Below are 25,866 nucleotides of genomic sequence, written 5' to 3'. Positions count from 1 at the left end.
GGTTTCCAGCTTCATCCATGTCCCTACAAAGGACGTGAACTCATCATTTTTTATGGCTGCATAGTATTCCATGGTGTATATGTGACACATTTTCTTAATCCAGTCTATCATTGTTGGACATTTGGGTTGGTTCCAAGAATTCTTTTTTTTTTTTTTTTTGAGACAGAGTCTCGCTCTGTCGCCCAGGCTGGAGTGCAGTGGCGTGATCTCGGCTCACTGCAAGCTCTGCCTCCCAGGTTCATGCCATTCTCCTGCCTCAGCCTCCCAAGTACCTGGGACTACAGGCGCCTGCCACCACGCCTGGCTAATTTTTCGTATTTTTAGTAGAGACGGGGTTTCACCTTGTTAGCCAAGATGGTCTCGATCTCCTAACCTCGTGATCCGCCCGCCTCGGCCTCCCAAAGTGCTGGGATTACAGGCGTGAGCCACTGCGCCCAGCAAAAAAAAGAATTCTAATGACAACATAAGCCTAGAGCTGCTAGGTGCCATGATCCTTCTCTATGCAGAGAGAGAGAGAGCTGCTAGGGAATGAAGCCATTCCAAAGGAATGCAGTGCCTAGAGATATAGTATGAGACATAAAGTCCATGATGATCTTTGATTATCGGCATCCAGCCATTTCTGAAGCTGGATATATCATGGAATTTCCAGTGATGTGAACCAGTAATGTTCCCCCTTTGCAACCAAGAGAGTCCATCTACATATCTGTAGATCCTCACAAGGCTAGTGAATGTTTCTCAAGGAACTGCTGGTTTTGCTGGGTTTTTGGTGATCGCTTTAACTGTCTGCAGTAACTCACATTCACCACCACACACAGGCAAACCTGTTCGTCTTCATTCTCTCAGTGCTCTTGAAAGCTTTATTCCATATTTCCCAATGATGGGGGTCATTGTCATTCACTGAGGCTTGGTTCTTTCTGACCTTTTTGGAGGGTCAGCAGGGCTCACTAAGAGAGGGGATAGGAAGCGGTGTTTTGCTAAAGATGAATACAAATCCTGTCACCTGGAACAATTGGCGCATGTGCTGGGTTAGTCTGAGGCCCAGGGAAAATAAAGTGCAGTTGTGTATTTCAGATATCATTGATTCATTATATATTTATTGATTTCCAGGCACTGAACAAGACAGCCCCAGGTTCAGCTCTCAGGGAACTCACAGCTGGCTGTGTGTGTGTGTGTACGTTTGTGAAGATCTACATGGTACAAAATGGTGAACTCTCAGAGGCCTACTTCTCTGTAAACAGCTTTGATTTTATCCATGTCCCTTTTCCAGGTTCTGAAATTTCCATCTTTTGAATTATTTCTTAATATTGTTCAATACTCCCAGGAAGTCCAACTTAGAATGCAAAAACGTGTGAACTAGAGGGAAGGGCACATCAATTCTTTACAATGCAATGTCACTATGGTGAAGAGTAGAACAGGACAGATACATTTTGATGAGAAGATAGTCCTTGGGGAAAGTCTCCAGACCTGGGCAGCCAGGAGGTGGTGTGTAAGGGGGATGAACACAGGAGAAAGAGTAGGAGAAAGACAGGTTAGGAAGGGCCTATTCTTTCATCAGTTTTCTCAGATTTTGGTAGTACTCATGCCTTGAATATCTCACTCTGGTAAGGAAGTAGGACTTATTTTGTATTCTAGGCTTTGAAGTGAGACAGACCTGTGTTTGAATCCCAGCCTTGCTACTTACTAGCTGGTGACCTGCAGAAAGTCATTTATTTTTTCTTTCTTTTTTTTAGAGACAGAGTGTGACTCTGTCACCCAGGCTAGAGTGCAGTGGTGCAATCATAGCTCACTACAGCCTCAAACTCCTGGGCTCAAGCAATCCTCCCGCCTCAGCCTCCCGAGTAGCTGGGACTATAGGTGTGTGCCACCACACTCAGCTAATTTTTAAATTTTTTTGTAAAGTCATTGTCTTGCTATGCTGCCTAGACTGGTCTTGAATTCTTGGCCTCAAGTGATCCCCTGTCCCAGCCCCACAAAGTGCTGGGATGACAGGTATGAGCCACTGTGCCCAGCCTCCTTATGATTATCTTTATCATGTTTTCTTTTCTCTAGCTTGCTTCATTGTAAGAATACAGTATATAATACACATAACATATAAAATACATATTAATAGACTGTTTAATGTTATTAGTAGGGCTTCTGGTCAACAGTAGGATATTAGTACTTAAGTTTTGGGGGAATCAAAAGTTATACATTAATTTTTGACTGCAGGGGTAGGGTGTGGTTAGTCCCCCAGCCCTTGTATTGTTCAAGGGTCAGCTGTGTATAAAGGGCTCAGCACAGAGCCCAAACATAATGGATTTTGCCAATGAGTGTTAGTTCCTGTCCTTGGTTGAATAATCTGAGTTGTTTGACAGCATTCAGGTCAAAGACATGATAACTTTAAATGGCTCAGCTTTACAGATGGGCATTTTTGGAAAGTTCTATCCTGCAAGAAAAAAGAACCAAAACGTTGGCCACTCTCATTTGCTTGACATTCTACTATCACACTTCTCAATTTTCTACTTTCTGTTTGTTTTTTAGTAGCTCTCCTCGTGACTTATTTTAGTCCCTATTAAGTCCTACCCTATCTACCCGCTTCTATGTCAGAGATAAGGAGTCACAGAGTCTAGAGTCTTTTCCTTCCGTTTGTTGTTTTTGTTTTTTCAAAGCTTTTGGTTCCCAAGGCAATCAGGAAATGCAGAGAGTTTCCTTTTTTGGACAACAGATCATTAAAAATTATGATGTATTCAGGGCTGGCTGTAAGCCAGGCAATTGGTCTATGCATCTGTTTTGTTTTGTTTTGTTTTTTTGAGATAGAGTTTCACCATTGCTGCTCAGGCTGGAGTGCAATGGTGTGATCTCGGCTCACTGCAACCTCCACCTCCTGGGTTCAAGCGATTCTCCTGCCTCAGCCTCCTGAGTAGCTGGGATTACAGGGGCCTGCCACCATGCCTGGCTTTTTGTATTTTTAGTAGAGACAGGGTTTCACCATGTTGGCCAGGATGGTCTTGAACTCCTGACCTCAAGTGATCCACCCACCTTGGCCTTCCAAAGTGCTGGGATTACAGGCGTGAACCACCACGCCCAGCCCAGGCCACGCACCTTATGTGGGTTTTAATCTTTATAATAACCTTGTGAATGGGGATTATTGTATCAGATTTATAGAGCCTTATAGGTTTGTTTTGAAGATTAAATATTTGAAAAGTGCTTAGAACACCAAGATTCAATAGATGTTAGCTATAATTATTAGTATTATTTTTCAATGAGGAAATTGAGGCTCAGGTTGGTTAAGATGTTCACCTAAAGTCATCTGGCTAGATAACTGAAGGATTCCAGGTCCTATTGTCATTAAGCCAGTGTGAAAGATCCACTATGTTTCATATCTTGACTGAAATGACAAAACATTAATAATTTGAACAATGCCATAAAATTTTCAACCTCATTTTAACTTGGTAGTGCAGCAAATGTTACCATAATTTTGGGCCAACATGTTTCCTCCCCTGTTGATATGCTTCTTGTAAAGTTGCAATCTTTCAGTCCTTATCAATTCTCCGAACACAGCCTCACAAGACTGCTTTCCAGACCCCATCACCCATTTTCTCTTTTACTATGCTCTGCCCCTCCCTTGGGCCCCCCGGGATTGGTCTAAGGATGGGCACTGATCCAAGCCTGGCCAATTAGCATTCTTCCCACAGGATTTTTTTCAAACTTAAGAATGTTATTCCCATTCTAGGGGTGGAAATGGTAAGACGTAAAGCTAAGGGGTGCCATATATCCAGCTATATGAAGGAAGCCAGTCTGTGTTAAGATAAATTGAAGCCCAGGCAGCAAGGTGAGCAAAGAAGCAAGAGAGTTCCTGACTCCAGAAGTTCCTGAAGCCTTGGCTCATTGCCCTATCCTACCTTGACATTTAAACACTTTTTTGGATCTCTTCAGCCGATTCTTCTTCACTTTTGCCTAAGCAAGTTCAGGTTGGGTTTCTGTCACTTGCAACCAAGAGTCTTGGAAAACATAAGCACCACAGAGCTACAACTAAACTGGACTGCCTGCTGATCCTGAGAACACTTTTGCTTATCCTGTTTCTTGTGCCTAGAATGTGCCCTATTCCCACTATCCAAATTTAACCACTCAACCTTTAAGAACCCATTTCTGGCTGGGTGCACACCTGTAATCCCAGCACTCTGGGAGGCCGAGACAAGTGGATCATTTGAGGTCAGGGGCTCAAGACCAGGCTGGCCAACATGGTGAAACCCCGTCTCTACTAAAAATTCAAAAAAAAATTAGTCGGGCCTGGTGGTGCATTATAATCTCAGCTACTTGGGAGGCTGAGGCAGGAGAATCGCTTGAACTTCGGAGGCGAAGGTTGCAGTGAGCCAAGATAGTGCCACTGCACTCCAGGCTGGGTAACAGAGCGAGACTCTGTCTCAAAAAAAGCCAAAAACAAACAAACAAAAAAACCCATTTCTCATTAACTGTCCCTGATCCAACCTGCTATAATTTAACTATACCTTGTCTAAGCCCCCCAGTCCTTTTTTGAAAGGAGAAAAAGGGATACATACTTCTTGTTGTGCTCACAGCTTTCTAACTTGTGTTATGATTATTTATATATCCTGAGGCTTGACAGAGTGTGGAAAAAAGGTAAAATTATTTATATAAGCTTCTTATTATTTTCTTTCCAGAACAAAGATGTGCCTAGTTCATCTTCTTCTCAATGTGCTACCACAGTGTCTGGCATGGATAGCACTCTGTAATTGTTAGTTCCCTTCTTCTTTCCCTTCTCCCTACATAGTAGGCTTTTCCCCCTGTAGCTTCATTTTCTTTTTCCAGCATCAACATTCCATTCCCTGCTGCTGAGTGAGAAAATGTTCGTCTGTGTCTGCCCCAGGGTATTGTGTTTCGATGAAACAACACTAACTGTTGTAAAAATAATTTATCTAAAAATGGTTATCGCATTGTAGGTCTAAGAAACAGCTAGAAAGGGAAGTCTTTAACACTGTTTAGATAGTGGGTTGTCCTAGTGTATGTAATATTTGATTTTAGGATATGGATTTCAAATAGAAACCCTAGAAGGTTTGCATTTAGCAAGAAAGAACTCTGTTTCCAAAAGAACCAACTGCCAATCTTATGATCCTATTTTTAGTATCCCTACTTCCCTTCAAACCTCTTTGGCAGATCAATTATCTGTTAGTAAGATAGGAGGCAATGAATGTGTTTTCATATGTAGATACATTTTAACAAAAATTCTAGGCAACTTTTGTGGCTTGGAGGTTGGTGTTTTGAGAATACCTTATTATCAGAATATGTAACTTTTTGTATTTAGCTGTCAGCTACCCTCTCAAATTCTACCACCTGGATGAAATTCTCTCCAGGAGTCTCTTCTGAGTTCCGGGAATATTTTTTTTTTTCTGTACTTTCTTTTACCTTGTATCATATTGCCTTTTATCAAAGGCTATTTTTTTTGTGCAAGTCTTTGTCTTCCAGAATTAATTTAAATTAGTCTTTAGGTTTAGCCAATTTCAAATTTTACCTGTACCAAGAGAAAATTGTCATGGTTGTGCTCTGTTTAAAGGATGAGGTATTCAAGAAGACCTACTAAAATACCTATTATAGATCTATAAATATCAAGTTAAAATCTTGCCCTTCTTTGATATCCTGCTTCTATGGAAAAGCAGCAGTGTAGAGTGAACAAGTTTCAGAAGTTGGGCACCTAACTTTATAATTTTGCTCATACAACCAATAGGAAATACAAAGAGATACAATAGACTATAAGGATAAAGGGATAGAGTTGTTTATTATTTAGCTATATTTTCATGGATATATATCTGCATCTATAGTTTTCAGACCCCTAAAGGGCATGGACACGCTTCATACAGCTTATAGTTCTAGCATAATGTCTTACACATGGAAGGAACTCAATAATTGTGAGAAATGATGAACTGATACACTCTCTTGGAGTTTCTTTGTAGGGAATATGATTATGAATAAAGTGTTAATAGCTATCTCAAAGCCTTTTGTAAAGAAGCAGAGTACAGATGCTCCTCCACATACGATGGGGTTATATCCCAATAAACCCGTCATAAATCAAGTCAGGCCAGGTGCGGTGGCTCATGCTTGCGATCCCAGCATTTTGGGAGGCTGAGGCGGGAGAATTGCTTGAGTCCAAGAATTCAAGACCATCCTGGACAACATAGCAGACCTCATCTCTACTAAAAGTAAAAAAATAAAAAAAATTAGCTGGGCGTGATGGCATGTGCCTGTAGTCCCAGCTATTTGGGAGGCTGGGGTGGGAGGATTGCTTGAGCCTGGGTGGTAGAGGCTTCAGTGAACTGTGACTGCAACAACAACAACAACAACAAAAGTCTGTCTCAACAACAACAAAAAAGTCAAAAATGCATTTAATACAATTAACCTATTGAACATCATAGCTTAGCCCACCCTAATTTGAAGTGCTCACAACACTTACATTAGCCTACAGCTGGACAAAATCATCTGGCAAAACAGGACACTGTAGTGTTGGTGATTGCAAGCCTGACTGGGAGCTGCAGCTTGCTGCCACTGCCCAAGACTGTAGGAGAATATCCATATTGCCCAGGAAAAGATAAAAATTCAAAATTTGAAGTACAGTTTCTACTGAATGCATATTGCTTTCACACCATCATTAAGGTTGAAAAATCAGAGAAGTCAGGGACCATCTGTATAAATAAACCATAAATGAAAATAAAGTATGTGTTGTCATATTTTGGAAATGCCTCTTAGGCTCTGATCTGCAATATTATCTGGATCAAAAGAGTGGCTGAAGGGAACTATTGGGGACCAAGTACGTGAGGTGGAATGAATTCTTTTTCTGGTGTTTAAACACAAGCTGTAAGAACAAAATGTTTCTAATTAAGATACCACTAATTTTTCTCTCCATTAATTCCATCTTTATTCAAAGCTAAGGGTGTATATAATGACTCCACATCAAAGACTCTTTTCTAATGGTTTAGGAGATACAATTTTTATTAGAACCAAGGAGAATTCACAGCCCACAACAGAACAATTTGTTGAAGTTATTTTGGAGTTGATTTAGGAATCGCTCTTCATGAAATGTGATGAATCTTCATTATGGATGCTTTTTTTTTTTTGAGACAGAATCTCACTCTGTCACCCAGGCTGGAGTTCAGTGGTGCGATTTCCGCTCACTGCAACCTCTGCTTCCTGGGTTCAAGCAATTCTCCCTGCCTCAGACTCCTGAGTAGCTGGGATTACAGGTGCCCGCCACCAAGCCTGGCTAATTTTTGTATTTTTTAAATAGAGACGGGGTTTTGCCATGTTGGCCAGACTGGTCTTGAACTCCTGACCTCAGGTAATCTGCCCACCTCAGCCTCTCAAATTGCTGGGATTACAGGCGTGAGCCACCGTGCCTGGCCCATTATATATGTTTTCTAAACCTCCTCCAAAAAGGCTTTCAGCTCTTTTTGCACTTCTTCTGGTTTGCTTGCTCCCTCCCACTATACCTTTATCACTTGCACTCTCCTCATGTGATATTATATCGATCTATTTTCTTCCCTCTCTCCTCCCATTAGACCATAAGCTCCTTGAGGGCAGGTGTTTAAGCTTGTTCAATAGTATATTTAGTGCCTTGCACAGTGCCTGACTTATGATAGGCATTCCACAAAGACCTGTTAAATGAATGAATGAATAATCATACCTCACATTTAAATAGTGCTACAAATATGGTTACAAAGTACTTTCTTATGTTATTTGACTCCCATGATACTCTCCGGCAGGCAGTGGGTTTTATTATTACCCCTATTTACAGATGTGAGACTAGGCTCAGAAAGACTGTGTAATGGCAGGGCAACTAGGCTGCAATTTCTGGAGCTACCAGAACTCATGTCCATGGATTCCTGCTCTGGAGCTCTTTTCTGTTTTCAGAGTGATATATTTCCTGAGCCAAGTGCCAAGGGCAACACAAACTTACTCCCAGTGTCTGTTTACCCCTGCTGCTCTGCCTCCACACTTTACTGCTCTGCTGGATTTCTTCACTTCAAACTTAGCCCTGATTTTTATCTAGGAGTTGCACATTTCCTAAATGCAGATGAAAGATGAAAAATATATATTCTACTGTTGATTCTCCAGTTCCTTTGCCTGGGACCTCCCAGCTGTGGTGTGGTGCTGTGAAGTATGAGGCATGAAGTGGGGGTGACATACGTGAGGGGAGGAAGATGTGGCTGACTGGTATGGCCAGGGTATGCTGCTCAGAGGGCTATCAGACCAAGGGCTTGTGATGCTTAGGACTTGGCTGTGGCTCTGAGATCCCTCCATCCACTCTTCCCATCTCCAACATTTTTCTTTAGGGAAATCTGAATAAAATGAACTGGTAGAGTTGGGAGGTTAATGCTGACAACAAGGTTCCAGGATATGCTGATTTGAGTATGAAACAGTGTTTTAAGCATGGTGCGGTGGCTCACGCCTGTAATCCCAGCACTTTGGGAGGCCGAGGCAGGCAGATCATTTGAGGTCAGGAGTTCGAGAGCAGCCTGGGCAACATGGTGAAACCCTGTCTCTACTAAAATATAAAAAAATTAGCCGGGCATGGTGCAGCACACCTGTAATCCCAGCTACTAGGAAGACTGAGGCAGGAGGATCGCTTGAACCCGGGAGACAGAGGTTGAAGTGAGCCAAGATCACGCCACTGCACTCTAGCCTAAGCAGCAGAGTGAGACTCCACCTCAAAAAGAAAAAAGAAAGAAAGAAAAAAACAGTGTTTTGGGAAAGAGTGGTGTGGTCAAGGTGAGGGTGGCTAGTAGTCAGGGCTCACTTGCTGACACTAACAGTATTTGCTAATTGTATGCAACTGAACACAGTTGTATTCAATTCTCTTTTACACACAGCTCTGAGGGTGGAAGCTAAGGAGATGGTAAAAGAGGGAGTCTCTTGATTGGTCTTTAAAGTAAGCAGTCCTTTTCTTGAAATAGAATGGGCAAAACCAGGCTGGGCACGGTGGCTCACCCCTGTAATCCCAGCACTTTGGGAGGCCAAGGCGGTCGGATCACAAGGTCAGGAGTTCGAGACCAGCCTGGCCAATATGGTGGAACCCCATCTCTACTAAAAATACAAAAATTAGCCAGGCATGGTGGCACACACCTGTAATCCCACCTACTTGGGAGGCTGAGGCAGGAGAATCGCTTAAACCTGGGAGGCGGAGGTTGCAGTGAGCCAAGATGGTGCCATTGCACTCTAGCCTGGGCAACAAGAGCAAAACTCCATCTCAAAAAAAAGAAAAAGAAAAAGTGGGCAAAACCAGTACAATTTTACAAATTCAAGAAAGACAGAATATCATATTTGTGAGTGACGTAGATGACATCAACAAGTTAAAAGGAGGAGCTTTTGCTTGTTGTTTTTGAGTATGCTTCACACACAATACCCAGATCATAAAGCACTAGCAACAATGACATCACTCCTCATGTAGCTACTCCCTTACATCATTTACCAGAAATACACATTTTATACATAGAAACTTAAAAGCTACACACCTAAGACCCATCATTTAATGAGTACTTAATATGTGCCGTATGTGAGCTTTACATATATTTTACTCCTCAGAGGAACCTTGTGATAACAAGAACTGGCATTATAAATTGACACATAAGGAACTGAGGTTCAGAGAGGTCAAGCAACTTGCCCAAGGTCACACACCTGGGGTAAGTGGGATTCCAGAATTCCCACCAGTGTCTGACAGTGAAGCACATGGCTCCTAACTCTTGGACTAAACTGCCTCATGTGACACACAAACATGTATCTAATTTAACCATGGGAAAGCACTCCCTCGTCTGTCTATACCGTAATTTCTTACATTAGTGACACATTCATGGCTTGTATGTTTGTGTGCTTCTCCTACGCCTCCAATTGGATTGCAAACTTCTGGAACGCAGAGGCCAACTCTATTTTTTGTCCCCAAGTCATCGGTCAGTTTAATTGATGCTCGTTAGAATATCTGGAAGGAAAGACACCATGAAGGTGGCTGGAAAGGAGTAAAACCAGGTACAGAAGGAGGAAGATGGAGATGGGGTATTCACTCAACAATTTAATGTCCACTTGGACCTATGTTAGGCGCTGGAGATATGGTGAGGACTGAGCCAGTCTGTGTCCTTCCCCTCATGGGGTTTCACGTGGAGGTCGAGGTCATGATCAAGGATGTAAGTCACCCAAAGGACACTACTGTGTTCCCAAGCAGAAAAGAAAACCGAGGAGCCAGGCCCTGGCATCTGCAGGGTTCTGGCAGTCCCATAAGGCGCAAAGACATGAACAAGGTGGAAGAGTAGGTCAAGTGAAACGCTTTTATGTGATTGAACTTAGCCGGCCGGAGGGCCGGGGCCGCTGCGATGAGAGATAAAGAGCGTGGGGCGCCGGGTGCGAGGCGGAGATAAAGGGGTGAGGCCCTGGCCCTGCCGCCGGCCGTAACACGTGTCCCTTCGCCTGGCGGCGGGGTCTTCCCTGCCCACCACGAGGAAAAGGGGGCGCACTGCATGGCCCCCCACTCCTCACCACCCTTTGTGAAACGCCCCCAATTGTGCTTCATCTGTGGAGTCAGGTCCCCGCAGGCGGTCGGGGCTGCCCGGATTCCGCGACGGCTGAAGGGTGAGGGCCGCGCGGTAGCAAAGTGTCCCCAGCACCTAGCTTGGCTCCCCTCGCTCCCAAATCCCTTTCCCCTTTTCGCTCAACCCCCAACTCCACCTCAGCCGCCTTCCTCTCGGTTCCCCTTTCACCTCCCGCGCTGGGCCTGTTGGGCGGGGCGAGGGCTCCCGGCTGCGCGAGAGTTCCGCCCAAATCTCGTGAGACTCGCCTGACGCCGCCGCTGCTGCCGCCGCCTCTTACGTCTTTCCCTTTGACAAGTCGCTGCTGCTGCAGCAAAAATAAAGGACGCGACCGCCGCAGCCTCTGCGGAGCCGGGCTCGGGTCGCCGGAGCCGCGCCCCACCCCGCCAGCTCCAGAGCCACGTACGGTAACGCATCATCTACCGTCCTCCTGGTCCTGTGTGTGTGTGTGTGTGTGTGTGTGTGTGTGTGTGTGCGCGCGCGCGTGTGTGCTTTGCCGGCCGCGCAGGGCCGGCCGGGGCCGTTTCGGGACTGCAGCCGAGCGGGGCTGCTGGGGTCCCGGGTGGGCGGCAGGCGAGCTGGGGGAGCCCTCCTGGCGCGCCGCGGATCCCCCGGGTCCCCGGCTCTAGAGGCCTCCTGCCGCCCGGGCGCCTCGGAGCAGCGTAGAAGCCGAGGCGCCCGCGGAGAGGGCCGAGAGACCCGCCCCTCCAGCGGCTTACAACGTCTGTGCCCCGGCCCCGCTGTGGTCGCGTCTCTTTCTGCTTCATTCCTTTATCTGCTGACCAGCTCCTCTGCCCCGGCTGGGGCTCGGTCCGCGGGCGGCGGCCGACTCCCTCTCAGGGTCCGGGGAGTGCCGCGACCCCGGTGTCCCCAGGCGCCGGCCGCCTTTAGCGGGGTGGAGGCTGGGACGACGTGTCTTCCTCCTCTCCTCTGCCTTTGGGTGAGGGCAGCTCATCATCTGCTAAACCTTTCTCCAAATCTCCCGCCCCAATAAAACAACAAATTATAAAGCCTTTGCAACCGGGAGGCGAGGCGGGGCGCATTGTTTAGTCTTAAGCGTGAGATGAGGATGATGATGGTGATGACAGGAGCTACCCCGGGGAACATGGTGAAATCTGTTCTGTGATGGGTGGCAGGTTACTGGGAGACACGAGGAGGACAGGAGCTTGTACCACCTCTCCCAGGAGGTTATGTAAAAGACATGTTATCTTAGAGAGCTGTGAAACACAGGGACAGATTTGTCTTAGTTTAAGAAATGTCTATAATACTTAGAATATAGAGATAATTAAATGATGGGAATAACAAATCTGAACAAACTAACCCATCTTTGTAATTCCATCTCCAGAGGTGGCATTTCATGGTTAACATTTTATTGTATTTCCTAACAGACACATTTTTTTTTATCCTTGCTTGGGACTTCCTCATTCTATATTTGTTCCAAAAATGATTTATTTTATTTGAATCAGTTCTCTGGCCTGCTTGATTAAAACTGGCTGCTAGTTCATTATCACTGGCTGAACTCTGCCATCACTATCTTTTTCACTGGGCCCTTTTCCAAAATGATTGTTAGCTAAGTGGTTTGAAAAATCAAACGTTAAAACATTGTCTGTTTGGGTCTAGTACCTATGTATATATTATATTTTTACAATTCTGTTAGTGGTGGTTGCTCAAAATGGGGCAGTATTTGTAGAAGGGAAAGAAACTATGATTATTCATAGTGGGAAGAAACCTATTTACCTCAGGTTTTATGAAATTGATTTCTACTGGATATTTTTAGACCAAAATTGTTCTGTGACATTGTTTCATAGTGCCTGTTGTGATTAGTGTGGGATGAGTATGTCTCTTTGATATATGTGTTTCCATAGCCTGCGTTTATACAAGCAAAATTGAATGTCCTAGGTGCCTGTCTTATGCATAAATGTACGTATATATGTATAGAGACACACACACACACACACGTATTCTGCACCTATACACATTTATATATCTTGGAAGTGAGTTAAGATGTATTGCTATATTATTTGAGAAAAGATAGCATTAGGAAGGGCAAAGAACAGTCATAATATTTCCCCCAAATCACATGACAAGGTTGTATGGCAGAATGAGATATCTAGGGAGGTTGGAAATCTGGAGCCTTTTAAAAATAGGATAGATTGTCATCTGGGGTTGTTGTTATTGGAATGGATTAAATGGCCTATTAAGGCCTCTTGTAATTCTAAACTTTTATGAATTTTGCGTTCCCTAAGGTTCTTATCATTTTGCTTCTTAAATTTCCAGTCATGCTGTTTGCATGTGACACATCCATTCATTTGCTGGTCATGTATTCCATTTCCAATGCAGGCACCCTGATGTTGCATGGAAGAGAAAGCAAATGTAAATGCGTCACTTAATCTGCTTATTAATATAAACATCTCTTGAAAATCTCAATTTAAAGAAATTTTGGAGAATGTGTTGGTGATTGGACTGGATTGGGTTAGTAGAGGGTGCAAATAATAAATAGTAATAACAATTCCAACGTTCCAAGCATGTTTTCCCCCAAAAAAGTCATACTGAATACTCCCTAATATTTGAAATAGAAAAAAAAGGGGGCTGGGTATATTGAAGGAGCTGACCTTTTAAAATTTTTAAAATTCAGATTTTCAGATCTTAAAATGATGATAATGATGACATCGTGGCTTGGAGAGTGAGAAGGTTGTGTTAGGATAAAAAGAAACTTGTGAAACAAAACTTGAATGTTATAGTTGGATAACTATATAATAGCAAGTAACAAACTTACTATAATCTGTTGAAGCTATTTTTAAAAATTGTAAATAGAACTTTTGGCCAGATTACAGTAGCTCACGCCTGTAATCTCAGCCCTTGGGGAGGCCGAGGTGGGAGGATGGCTTGAGCCCAGGAGTTTAAGATCAGTCTGGGCAACATGGTGAAACCTTGTCTCTATGGTAAATACAAAAATTTGCTGGACGTGGTGGTGCATACCTGCAATTCCTGCTATTAGGGAGGCTGAGATGGGAGGATCAATTGAGCCTGGGAGATTGAGGCTGCAGTGAGCTGTGATTGCACCACTCTACTCCAGCCTGGGAGACACAGTGAGACTCTATCTCAAAAGCAAAATAAAACAAAACAAACAACAACAAAGGTCTACACAACTTTGGCTTAACATACACATGAAATACATTGTTGTGAGCATGTATTGCAGATTATCATGATGTTGAAAACATAAAAAGTTGGTCAAATCATTTACAGAGAAGTTTGCAAAGCCAGGAAGGTCACATCTGCTAGCATTTTCTTTAACTACAAAAAGTGAAAAAGAGCATAAAGTAGTTGTTTACTTACTAGATGCCAGATCCGATTTTCATGATTTTAGTTTGTTCTGATGTTGCCTACCGGGCTCTCTAAATTAATGGGACTGTTAAATTTCAGATGAGATCCTTGAGCAAGAAGATATGACAGTTGTATCAGATGATTGGTTGATGGATTTTATTTATTTTTAATGATTTATTTAGAAATAATGTTAGACTTACAGAAAAGTTACAGAGAGAGTACAGAGTTCTTACATACTCTTCACCAAGCTCCCCCTAATGTTAACAACTTACATAACCATAATACAGTGATCAAAACCAGAAGTTAGCATTGGTGTAACTCTATTGACTATAGATTTTACTTAATTTCACTGGTTTTTCCCCATTAATGCCTTTTTTTTTGTTCTAGGGTCTAATCTAGGTTCCCACGTTGCATTTAGTTGTTGTGTCTTCTTCATTTCCTCCAATCTCTGACAGTTCCTCAGTTTTTGTTTTTCACGACCTTGACATTTTTGATGAGTACTGTTATTTTTTAGAACTTCTTTCATTTTGGGTTTGTCTGATGTTTTTTCTCATGATTTGATTGAGGTTAAGCATGTTTTGCAAGAAAACTACAGAAGCGATGTTGTGTCCTTCTCAATGCATCATATTGGGGGTACATGGTGTTGACATGTCTTTTTGCTAGTGGTATTTTAACTTTGAACCCTTAGCGGTATTCTTCACAGTAAAGTTACTATTCTTCCCTTTATTGTTCATACATATCTTGGGGGAGACACTTTGAGACTGTGGATGTACAGTTTCTCCTCAAACTTTCTCCCATTGATTTTTAACATCCATTGGTAGATCTTGTCTGCAACAGTTATTACTGTGGTGTTTGGCTAATCATGATTTTGTATTTCCCTCATTCCTTCTGCATTTATTAATTGGAATTCTTTAAGGGAGAGATGTCCCCTTTCCCTCACTTATTTATTCAATTATTTGTTTATATTAGTGTGTTCTTATGGGATCTCTATTTTCTATGGATTATAATCCAATACTATCATTATTTATTTTGTTGTTCAAATTGTTCCAGCTTTGGCCATTGGAAGCTCTTTCAGGTTGGCCTCTACCCTTTTTCAAGCACTTTCTTATATTCTGGGGCCACAGGCTGTTCCATGCTCATCTTATTTTTCCTTGCACCAGTCCTGGAGTCGACTACTTCTCCAAGGAGCTCTGGTTTCTTTTATTGGAGAATAGTATTTAAAATCAAAATCTGTATACTCGGTATGTTTATTGGAGTTTTATTGCTCCCAGGACTTCAGTTGGCAGAACTAGGAAATATATCAGTATATTATATATATATATATATATATATATATATATATACACACACACACACACACATACATATATGTGCACACATATTATTTATATATGTGTGTGTGTGTATATATATATATATATATATTTATATAAACATATATGTGCACACACACACACACATACTGACGTTTCTTTCTTTTTTGAGACAGGGCCTCACTCTGTCACCCAGGCTGCAGTGCCGTGGCGTGATCATAGCTTACTGCAGCCTTGAACTCCTGGGCTTAAGCCATCCTTCCACCTCAGCCTCCCAAGTAGCTGGGACTACAGATGTGCACCCACCATGCCCCGCTGATTTTTTTTTAATTTTTAGTAGAGACGAGGTCCTGCTGTTTTGCCCAGGTTGGCCTTGAGCTCCTGAGCTCAAGTTATTCTCCCACCTTGGCCTCTCAGAGTGTTGGGATTCCATGCGTGAGCCACAGTACCCTGCCTGTATTCTATATATATTTAAAACCATGGGTTCATATTGACACCTATTCTAATCCAGTACCACAAAGTTCATTCTAACCTTCTCCCGTTCCTTCTGTCTCTGTCAGAAACCTGGCTTTCATGATATAGAGTAAGTATACTCACTTATTTGTTGACTTCTAGAATACACATGAAGTGGTTACAGATTGCTAACCTGTACCCTAGTGAAAAATGTATTTACTAATTAGTGTATTTGTATGTAGTTATTTTTGCTTTAGCCTTATAGTATCTAGTCAAAATAGTTTTCCAAAGTTACTTAGGTTAGTTATTTTCTTTACCACTCCCTTTAGTTTAATCTTATTCATCCCTAATGCATTAAGTTCATTTGTTATTGTTACTGTTCCATTTTGGGTTCCCTCCAACCCTAGTTGATTTTAATTATTATTATTTTTTGGCATATGAAACATTATAGTTACTAAACACTGCTTCTACTAAACACTACTGTATAAAAAGGTGTACTGGGCTGGGTGCGGTGGCTCATGCCTGTAATCCCAGCACTTTGGGAGGCCGAGGAGGGCGGATCACCTGAGGTTGGGAGTTTGAGACCAGCCTGGCCAACATGGAGAAACCCCATCTCTACTAAAAATACAAAATTAGCTTGGTGTGGTGGCGCTTGCCTGTAATCCCAGCTACCCAAGAGTCTGAGGCAGGAGAATCACTTGAACCTGGGAGGCGGAGGTTGCGGTATGCCAAGATCACGCCATTGCACTGCAGCCTGGGCAACAAGAGCAAAACTTTGTCTTAAAAAAAAAAAAGGAAAAAAGTTGTACTGAAAAGTGTCACTCTCTCCTTGTTTTTACTATCTCATTTCCATCCCTCCATCTTTGTTTCTACCTCTTGCCCATGCCCTGTGGGTACATAGTCTCTTTAGTTTCTGGTTTGTCCCTTCCTTTATTTCTGTTACACAAATGAAAATATATGTGGGTGTTCTCTTATATTCCTTTTCTTCTGATACAGTTACTTATTGCCATACAATTCACATACCATACAACTCACCCTTTTAAAGTGTACAATTCAGTGGTTTCTAGTATATTCACAAGATGGTGCAACCATCACAACTATCTAATTCCGGAACACTTTCATCACCCCCAAAAGAAACTGTGTATCCATTAGCAGTCACTTCCCAGGTCCGCTTCCCAGTCTACTTTCTGTCTGTGTGTGTTTGCCTATTCTGGATGTTTTGTGTTAATGGATCATATAATATGTGGCGTTTTGTGCCTGGCTTCTTTCACTTAGCATAATTTTGTCAAGGTTCATCCATGTTGTAGCATGTATCAGTACTTCATTCCTTTTGATAACTGAATGTTATTCCGTTATGTGAATATACTACATTTTGTTCATGCGTCAGTTGAGGTACATTTGGTTTTCTACTTCTTAGCTGTTATGAATAATGCTGTTTTGTACATTCATGTACAATTTTTTGTGTGGACATATATTTTTAATTCTCATGGGTATATATACCTAGGAGTGGAATTGCTGGGTCATATGATTACTGTATGTTTAACTTTTTGAGCAACTGCCAGATTGTTTTCCTGTTCCCTTCTTTTTTATGTGGAGAGTATACTATACTCTTTTGCACTTTTTTTCACTCAATAGTATATCCTGGAAATGACTCCAAATCAGGTCATTCTTTTGAAGAGATATTCCTTTCATTTTCTTCGGTCTTTTTTTTTTTTAAGACACAGTCTCACTCTGTTGCTCAGGCTGGAGTGCAGTGGTACAATCATGGCTCAAACTGTGGCCTTAATCCCCTGGGCTTAAGCGATCCTCCTTCATCAGCCACCCAAGTAGCTGGGACTACAAGTGTGCACCGCTATACCTGGCTAATTTGTTGATTTTTTGAGATGGGGTTTTGTCATGTTGCCCAGGCTGGTCTCGAATTCCTGGGCTCAAGTGATCCTCTCACACTGGCCTTCCAAAGTGTTGGGATTATAGGCGTGAGCCACTGCACCCAGCCTATTCTTTTTTACAGCTGTGACTTGACTGTGTAGATGTTTCTTAACCTCTTCAACCATTCATCTATGTATGGGCATTTAGGTTGTTTCTTATGTAAATAGCCTTGCGCGTAGTATTTTGGTATCGTTAGAACCGTATCTTCAAGGTAGATTTCTGTAAGTGTGATTGCTGGTTCAAAAGTTAAGTGCACATGTAGTTTTGTTAGATATTCCCAAATTCCAGATTTTCCTCCACAAGTATACCAATTTGCATTCTCACCAGTAATGTGTGAAAGCACCAACAGAATACGTTGTCATACTTTATATATATATATATATATATATATATATTTTTTTTTTTTTTTTTTTTTTTTTTTTTTTACCAGAGATAAGTGATTAAAAGAATAGTAGTCATTCGGGTGACCCCTTGTGGATGAGTGCTTAATGCTTGCAGATGGTTGGTTCTTATAGCTTGAAAATGAAATACATTGTCCACTAATACTGCATTCATACATGTAGCTTATTATGTGCAGGTAAAGTCCATTAGTTCTGGCCTAGTCAGGATTGTTCATTTTAACATTTTGCATTTAATGGAAGTGCTACATTGATTCATAGTACCTGTGCTCTAAAATACTTTTGGGGTTTAACAGAGGATAACTGAAATTCTAAGAATATTTCTTAGGCTAGAATATGTGATATGGTAGTTACTGGTTCACATTGTACATAGTTATTTTGAACGGTATATACAGTACGTATTGATACCCATGGTATGGTAGTTATTTGGACCAGTAATGGCAGTATCTTGGAACCTGTCATAGTTCCATAAGGAAGAAGGGCAGTCGTAATGAAAATTAAACCGCGAGTTTAAAGTTCTGGGTTAGGGCAATCCTATTAGATTTTAGCGGTGCCAAAAAACCAAGACAACATGAAGAAATCCCCATCTTTTAGGGTAACAAGTGCTGCCCAGCAACACTGGAAATTTAGGTTCATTCCCAGAAAGAGTGCTGCTCCAGGTGCTTGGAACACATTAATTGAAAATCAAAGATTCTGGCACTTGATGAGTTTATATTCCATTCGTTTTCTTTTTAAGAAATTATTATTTGGCCGGGCGTGGTGGCTCACACCTGTTAGTTCCAGCACTTTGGGAGGCTGAGGTGGGTGGATCACCTGAGGTCAGGAGTTTGAGACCAGCCTGGCCAACATGGTGAAACCCCGTCTCTACTAAAAAAACAAAAATTAACTGAGCATGGTGGCGGGTGCCTGTAATCCCAGCTACTCGGGAGGCTGAGGCAGGAGAATCACTTGAACCCAGGAGGTGGAGGTTGCAGTGAGCTGAGACCCACCGCTATACTCAGCCTGGGGGACAAGAACGAGACTCCATCTCAAAAAAAAAAAAATTATTATTTTTCTTTTTTTTCGTGGTTTTCTAATGAACTGATGTTCCCAGGAAAATAGATGCTGAGTGCTGATTGTGAATGGAACCAGTAAAGGCCTGGGATAGTCTTAAAGTACAATCACCTTTGCTGCTATAAAAACTTCAAATAATACTTCATTTTACTGATTACAAAATAAGCCCACAAAAGTCACAGGATGGTAACATATTGTTCACCAGTCTCTTCTCTCTCATTTTATTTGTTTATTTCAGGCTTACTTACTTATTTATTGTATAAATTTAATGTGTACACATGATGTTTTGATATACATAGTGAAATGATTGCTGTATGTAAGCAATTTAAGATACCCATCATCTCACATAGTTACTTTTTTTGTATGTGCTAGGAACATTTAAAATCTACTTTTAGAAAATTTCTGGTATATAATATGCTAATATTAATTATATTGCTCTTGCTAACTTTATTTATTTTTTGAGACAGAGTCTTGCTCTGTCACCTAGGCTGGGGTGCAATGGCATGATCTGCGTTCACTGTAACCTCCACCTTGGGTTCAGGTGATTCTCATGCCTTAGCCATTGGAGTAGCTGGGTGTGTGCTGCCACACCTGGCTAATTTTTTGTATTTTTGAGGAGATGGGGTTTTGCCAAGTTGGCCAGACTGCTCTCGAACTCCCGGCCTCAAGTGATCTCCCTGCCTCGGCCTCCCACAGTGCTGGGATTGATTACAGGCATTAGCCACCGTGCCCAGCCCTCATGCTATATTTTAGATCTCTAGATTTATTCATCCTACATAACTGCAACTTTGTTCCCTTGACCTGCATCTCCCCTACTCTCCTAGCCACTGTTCTAGTCTCTGTTTCTATGTATTTGACTTTTTTTTTTTTAAGATTCCACATATAGAAGAGATCATTTAGTGTTTTTTTTTTTTCCTACGTCTGACTTGTGTCACTTAAGACAGTGTCCTCCAGTTTCATTTGTTTTGTTGTAAATGGCAGGATCTCCTTTTTGAAAGCTGAATACTATTCCAGAGTGTGTTTGTATCACAATTTCTTTATAGAGCCATCCACTGACAGACGTGTAGGTTGGTTCCATATCTGAGTTAGTGTGAATAATGCTGCAGTGAACATGGGAGTGCAGCTCTCTCTCAGAGGTGCTGCTTTTATTTCTTTTGGGTTAAAACCGAGAAGAGAGATTGCTGGATCATATGGTGGTTTTCTTTTTAATTTTTTTTTTTTTTTTGAGATGGAGTCTCACTCTGTTGCCCAGGCTGGAGTACAGTGGCATGATCTCAGCTCACTGCAACCTCTGCCTCCCGGGTTCAAGTGATTCTCCTGCCTTGGCCTCCTAAGTAGCTGGGACTACAGGTGCCTGCCACCACACCCGGCTAATTTTTTTGTATTTTTAGTAGAGATGGGGTTTCACTGTGTTAGCCAGGATGGTCTCCATCTCCTGACCTTGTGATCTGCCCACCTCGGCCTCCCAAAGTGCTGGGATTATAGGCGTGAGCAACTGCGCCCAGCCCTTTTTAATTTTTTGAGAAACCTACATACTGTTTTCCATAATGGCGGTTCCAATTTACATTTCCACCAACAGTGTTCAAATATTCCCTTTTCCCCACTCCCTCATCAACACTTATCTCTTGTCTCTTTGATAATTGCCATCCTCACAGGTGTCAGGTGATACCTCATTGTGGTTTTGATTTTTTGATTTGTGTTTCCCTGATGATTAGTGATGTTGAGGCATTTTTATGTCCTATTTGGAGAAATATCTATTCAAGTCATTTGCCCGTCTTAAAATCAGGTTATTCATTTTTGTTTTTTGCTATTGCGTTGTGTGAGTTCCTTACGCATTTTGGATATTAACAGATACATAATTTGCAAATATTTTCTCCAAATCCGTAGGCTACGTTTTCATTTTGTTAATTGTTCTTTTGCTATGCAGAAATGTCTCTCATTTTAAATTATTCCCAATAGTAGTAATGGAATAATAATAATGGAATAATAGTAGTATAGTATAGTTTCTTTTTTTCTTTCAACTGGGTTTCATAAGAGAATAAACCCAAATGCCCAAAGACATTTGGACATTTGTTATATGTAAATAATTAACTTTTCTCCAATGTAGGATGGCACTAGTTATGTACCATCCTTGTGAGAATTGAGAAAGTATCCACTCCGACCATTGTCAATGTTCTGAGGTTCAGATAACAAGCCCCAGTTGAGAAAGGTCACGGGCATTGTCACCAGTTAGATCTGTTCTTTCCCCCAGCTCCTTCTTCCTTCTACCAGTTAGGTAGAATGATGTTAGGCAAGTCTTAATCTCTTAGTCTCAGTTTTCTGATCTATAAAATGGGAATAATTATAGTTGCTACGTCATAGGGCTGATGTGAGGATGAAATAAACAAAATCTTCTACATCTGTATTTATTTAGTTCCATGACTTTAAATACTATCTATATGCCAGTTGACTCACATTTATGTCTTCAGCCTAAGCCCCCTCCCCAAGATTGAGTGTCATAGTTCATCTGCTTGTTCTCACTTATACGTGGGAGCTAAATGATGAGAAAACATGGACACACAGAGGGGAGCAACAGTCACTGGGGCCTATTGGAGAGTGGAAAATGGGAGGAGGGAGAGGATCAGGAAAAATAACTAATGGGTACTAGGCTTAATACCTGGGTGATGAAATAATCTGTACAACAAACCCCCATGACATGAGTTTACTTATATAACAAACTATCTAATAGACATCTCAAACTAAATTTGTACAACACAGAAGGTATGATTCTTATTCTCATTATTTCCTCTGAATCTGCTCTTAGTATTAATAAATGGCAGGACCATTCAACTAGTTGCTCAGGCTAGAATCCTAAGTGATCTATGATTCTCCTTTTTTCTTTATACCCTTTAACCAGTCTATTAGCAAATCATCTTGGCTCTATTTTCTGAATACATTTCTAATCTGATCACATTTTGTCATCTCTGCCTTATTCTGGTTTAAACCACCACCATCTCCTGTGTGGGTAATTATAATAGTCTCTTATCTGGTTTCCTTGTTTTCTCACTTGACCTCTTATAGGCTGTTTTCTACTTCATAACTAGAATGACCTTTTCAAATGTTAATCACTCCTTAATACTTTAGATGACATCTAAATTAAATTACAATTATTATTTAAAAATTTTTTTTTTTTTGAGACAGAGTCTTGCTCTGTTGCCCAGGCTGGAGTGCAGTGGCATGATCTCGGCTCACTGCAACCTCTGCCTCCTGAGTTCAAGCGATTATCCTGCCTCAGCCTCCCGAGTTGCTGGGATTACAGGCACACGCCACCACGCCCGGCTAATTTTTGTCTTTTTAGTAGAGATGGGGGTTCACCATGTTGGTCAGGCTGGTCTCGAACTCCTGGCCTTAAGTGATCTGCCCGCCTCGGCTTCCCAAAGTGCTGGGATTGCAGGCGTGAGCCACAGCACCTGGCTATTTTAAAGTAATTTAAAATACAGAAATTAAAAGAACAGCCAAATTCCTAGCCATGACCTGCAAAGTCCTACATGATGTAGTCCCTGCCTCCCTCTCCTTGTTTATTCCACTTCTGCTACATTGAACTATCCGTATTCCCTGACCGGGCCAGGCAGACTCCCAGGGTTTAAAACTTGTTCGTCCCTTTCCTCAAGTTTTTGCACTGCTGGCTCGCTCACATAATTCAGGCTTCTGTTTAAAGAGAGTGCCTCAGACTTCACCCCTGTAGAGAGATCTTCACTGAATACAGTGTAAAATAGTGGCCACTCCCTACATCCCCTATCTCTCTTGCTTTACTTTTTTTTATGGCACTTATGCTTCCTGAAATAGAATTACTTGCCTACCTGGTTATTATTTGTCTTCCTTACTAGAATGTAAACTCCATGAAAGCAGGAACCTTGGATATGTTGTTTATTCCACTGCCTAGAAAAGTCCCTAGCATGTGGTAAACTAGGAGTACAACTCCAGGAAGTTGTCTGTGGAGTAAAACTGTCTCTAAATTAGATTATCTGATTTTTTTTTTTTTTTTTTTTTTTTGAGACAGGGTATCACTCTGTCTCCCAGGCTGGAGTGCAGTGGTGGGATCATGGCTCATTACAGCCTTGACCTCCCAAGACTCAGGTGATCCTCCCACCTTGGCCTCCAGGGTAGCTGTGACTGCAGGCGTGCACAACCACACCCTGCTACATTTTTTTTTTTTTTTTTTTTTGAGACAGAGTCTCACTCTGTTACCAGGCTGGAGTGCAGTGGTACGATCTCGGCTCATTGCAGCCTCTGCCTCCTTGGTTCAAGTGATTCCCCTGCCTTAGCTTCCCAAGTAGCTGGGACTACAGGTGCATGCCACCATGCCTGGCTAATTTTTTGTGTGTTTTTAGTAGAGATGGGGTTTTGCTATGTTGGTCAGGATGGTCTCCATCTCCTGACCTCGTGATCCGCCCGCCTCAGCCTCCTAAAGTTCTGGGATTACAGGTGTGAGCCACTGCACCCGGCCCCCTGCTAATTTTTTTAGGGATGAGGTCTCACTCTGTTGCCTAGGCTGGTCTCAAACTCCTGGGTTCAAGTGATCCTCTCACCCCAGCCTCCCAAAGTGCTGGGATTATAGGCATGAGCTAATGCACCTGGCTAGTTCAAGTAATTCTTAAGCTAAAGGAGGACTGTTGAGTCAGTTAAACAATGCTGTGAATTCTTTGCATTGAGTACTTACATGTGAAATGTTAGAATTTAGAATTTATAACATTATCAAGAGCATATAATTGTTCATCGAGTGTGCTAAGTAATATGTGAAAACAAAACTTGAATTTTTAGCTCTTGTTCTGGTTGCAAGTGTTTAAGCTATTTGTTGTCCCCTAATGATAATGGTAGTAATGTTAATGTAGTAGTAATATTTCCTCTTGTTTCTGGTAAGTTATTTTTCCTCACCCTAAACTCCTGATTTAAAGTCTCTGTTAAGCTGGGCATGGTGGCATGCCTATAGTCCTAGCTACTTGGGAGGCCAAGGCCGGAGAACTGCTTGAGCACAGGAGTTCAACACTAGCCTAGGCAGCATAGCAAGACCTTGTCTCAAAAGCAAAAAAAAAAGGATAACGTCTCTGTTGCTTTTGATTTTTTTGAGATACATTGTTGTTTTTAAACAAATACAGTAGTATTTATGGAAGGCTTTTTAAAGTTTTGCCGTATTTTAAGACCTTAGTCCCTGTACCATAAAACTCTTTGGTGATGGCCACTTTTATTTGATATAATTCAAGTAAGCAGCCTTGATAACTGATAGCATTGGAAATAAGTGGTTAACCTAATTTAGAACTAGGAAGATTATATTTCAATGTTAATAAAATTTAGAAGCATCGTGGGCCGTTATCTTTTTTATGAAGTATCATTGAACTTTGTTATATAACCAAGTATTCAGTCATGTATAATGAAATTTAGTCAGTAATATGATCATAGTATCTGCCTTCTCAAAATTTGCTCATTCTTTTGGAAAGAATGAGGGATGGAGAATGATGGAAAGATTTGTGTAATTTAATGATGGTGGTGTGGTGGGGGAGTAGACAGATGCACATATAAAGGAATAACACTAGCACACTGAACATTTACTGTGCAGTCACTGTTCTAAGAAGTTTCATGTATTTTTTTATTTTTAAATTGGCAGATAAAATTGTATGTATTTCTTGTGTGCTACATGAAGTTTTGAAGTATATATACATTGTGGAATGACTAAATCTAGCTAATTTACATATACATTACTTCATTTAGTCATCATTTTTGTGGTGAGAACACTTAACATCCACTCTCTTAGCGTTTTTCCATGTATTATTTAACGCACGTTTAAACTTATGGGGTAAAACCTTATTTGCAGATAAGGAATTTGAAGCACAGAGAGGTTAAGTAACTTGCCTAAGATCATGCAGCTAGAAAGTGATGCAGACTGGATGAGAATTCAGAAATGAAAAAATGTTGGTGGAGACTAGCGGGGGCAGAGCATAGACATGGCCAGCCTCAATGACATAGTTTTGGCTGATAGAAAACCCCATCCAAGTATTGTCATGTGGGCAGGACCATGATATATGGGTGTTCAGGAATTCATGGTGACAATGAGACGGAACTTTAGAGACTACCTATTGCTTTGATTTCTTAAAGCATGTTTCTAGTTCTGTTTTGCCAAGGAGAGGAATAGATGTTAGAAGAGAACAGTAATTGGTGTAAGGACTGGACTTCGCTATTAAAAAGTGAATATTAGTGAATCTTTATGCCTTGAAATACGAAGCTTTTCTTGGTAGACCTTGAAACCTAATGATATTAAGGAGCAAGGTTAAGCAAACTGTCTAGAGTGCAAATAGAGAATAACAACTTACATTTATTTATAGTTTTTTAGTTTATAAAATACTTTTGTAAACATTTTCTCAATTGATGTGAATAACACCTCTGTGAGACAGGCAGGCAGATGTTATTCTTCCATTTGACAAATTTCCATGGAAGAGAGAGGGAGCTGCCTTAGGAATGAGCCCCTGAATAATCTCAACCTCTAGTTGTTCTTTTTTTAATGATGCAACCAGAAATGAACTGGTTCTGGTTCTGCAACCAAAGCCTAGAAATTGCTATTTCTTTGTAAAGTTGCCAGAGTATGAGTAGTGGTCTTCTATGTTATATGGTACTGCAGGTTTGATCTCTAAAGTAAGTGATTGGAAAGCTGCTTAATCTGGAAGCAGAAGTGCTTGGCATTACGAATGGGCCAAGATGGCTTATGGTAATTGGCATGTTCTTAAATAATGTTTGTTATACCAAAAGCCTAGGCGTTTTACATAAATTTAGATTAAAACTATAATTCTAATGGCAGCACTATAATAT

At 41.5% G+C, this 25,866-nt stretch overlaps 1 protein-coding gene across 41 annotated transcripts in view, besides 5 other annotated features; it reads left to right on the top strand.

Moving 5' to 3' along the window:
* Positions 9,955 to 10,818: an enhancer, noted in NCBI's record as "NANOG-H3K27ac-H3K4me1 hESC enhancer chr15:64126169-64127032 (GRCh37/hg19 assembly coordinates)". NCBI's record gives its function as "activates a minimal SCP1, AML or CMV promoter by ChIP-STARR-seq in naive H9 embryonic stem cells {active_cell/tissue: H9 hESC(naive)}" and the evidence as "EXISTENCE:reporter gene assay evidence [ECO:0000049][PMID:30033119]".
* Positions 10,652 to 10,781: an enhancer, noted in NCBI's record as "active region_9541". NCBI's record gives its function as "activates an Ori minimal core promoter by ATAC-STARR-seq in GM12878 lymphoblastoid cells {active_cell/tissue: GM12878}" and the evidence as "EXISTENCE:reporter gene assay evidence [ECO:0000049][PMID:35858748]".
* Positions 10,819 to 11,684: an enhancer, noted in NCBI's record as "NANOG-H3K27ac-H3K4me1 hESC enhancer chr15:64125303-64126168 (GRCh37/hg19 assembly coordinates)". NCBI's record gives its function as "activates a minimal SCP1, AML or CMV promoter by ChIP-STARR-seq in naive H9 embryonic stem cells {active_cell/tissue: H9 hESC(naive)}" and the evidence as "EXISTENCE:reporter gene assay evidence [ECO:0000049][PMID:30033119]".
* Positions 10,840 to 25,866, top strand: part of HERC1 (HECT and RLD domain containing E3 ubiquitin protein ligase family member 1) — a 225,331-nt gene continuing 210,304 nt past the window's right edge. For 26 of the 41 annotated variants that reach the window (XM_047433250.1, XM_047433246.1, XM_047433256.1 and 23 more), the window contains exon 1: positions 10,840 to 10,966. The gene's annotated coding sequence lies outside the window, so the exon portion shown is untranslated. The remainder of the gene's footprint in view (positions 10,967 to 25,866) is intronic. The other 15 variants (XM_047433260.1, XM_047433247.1, XM_047433234.1 and 12 more) reach the window with 1 other exon arrangement.
* Positions 11,022 to 11,451: a silencer, noted in NCBI's record as "silent region_6523". NCBI's record gives its function as "represses an Ori minimal core promoter by ATAC-STARR-seq in GM12878 lymphoblastoid cells {active_cell/tissue: GM12878}" and the evidence as "EXISTENCE:reporter gene assay evidence [ECO:0000049][PMID:35858748]".
* Positions 22,365 to 22,865: an enhancer, noted in NCBI's record as "H3K4me1 hESC enhancer chr15:64114122-64114622 (GRCh37/hg19 assembly coordinates)". NCBI's record gives its function as "activates a minimal SCP1, AML or CMV promoter by ChIP-STARR-seq in naive H9 embryonic stem cells {active_cell/tissue: H9 hESC(naive)}" and the evidence as "EXISTENCE:reporter gene assay evidence [ECO:0000049][PMID:30033119]".

This window comes from Homo sapiens, chromosome 15 (genome assembly GCF_000001405.40).
Source record: "Homo sapiens chromosome 15, GRCh38.p14 Primary Assembly".
Lineage (NCBI taxonomy): Eukaryota > Metazoa > Chordata > Mammalia > Primates > Hominidae > Homo > Homo sapiens.
The sequence above is the reverse complement of the archived record's forward strand: the minus strand, read 5'-3'. Positions and strand labels throughout refer to the sequence as shown.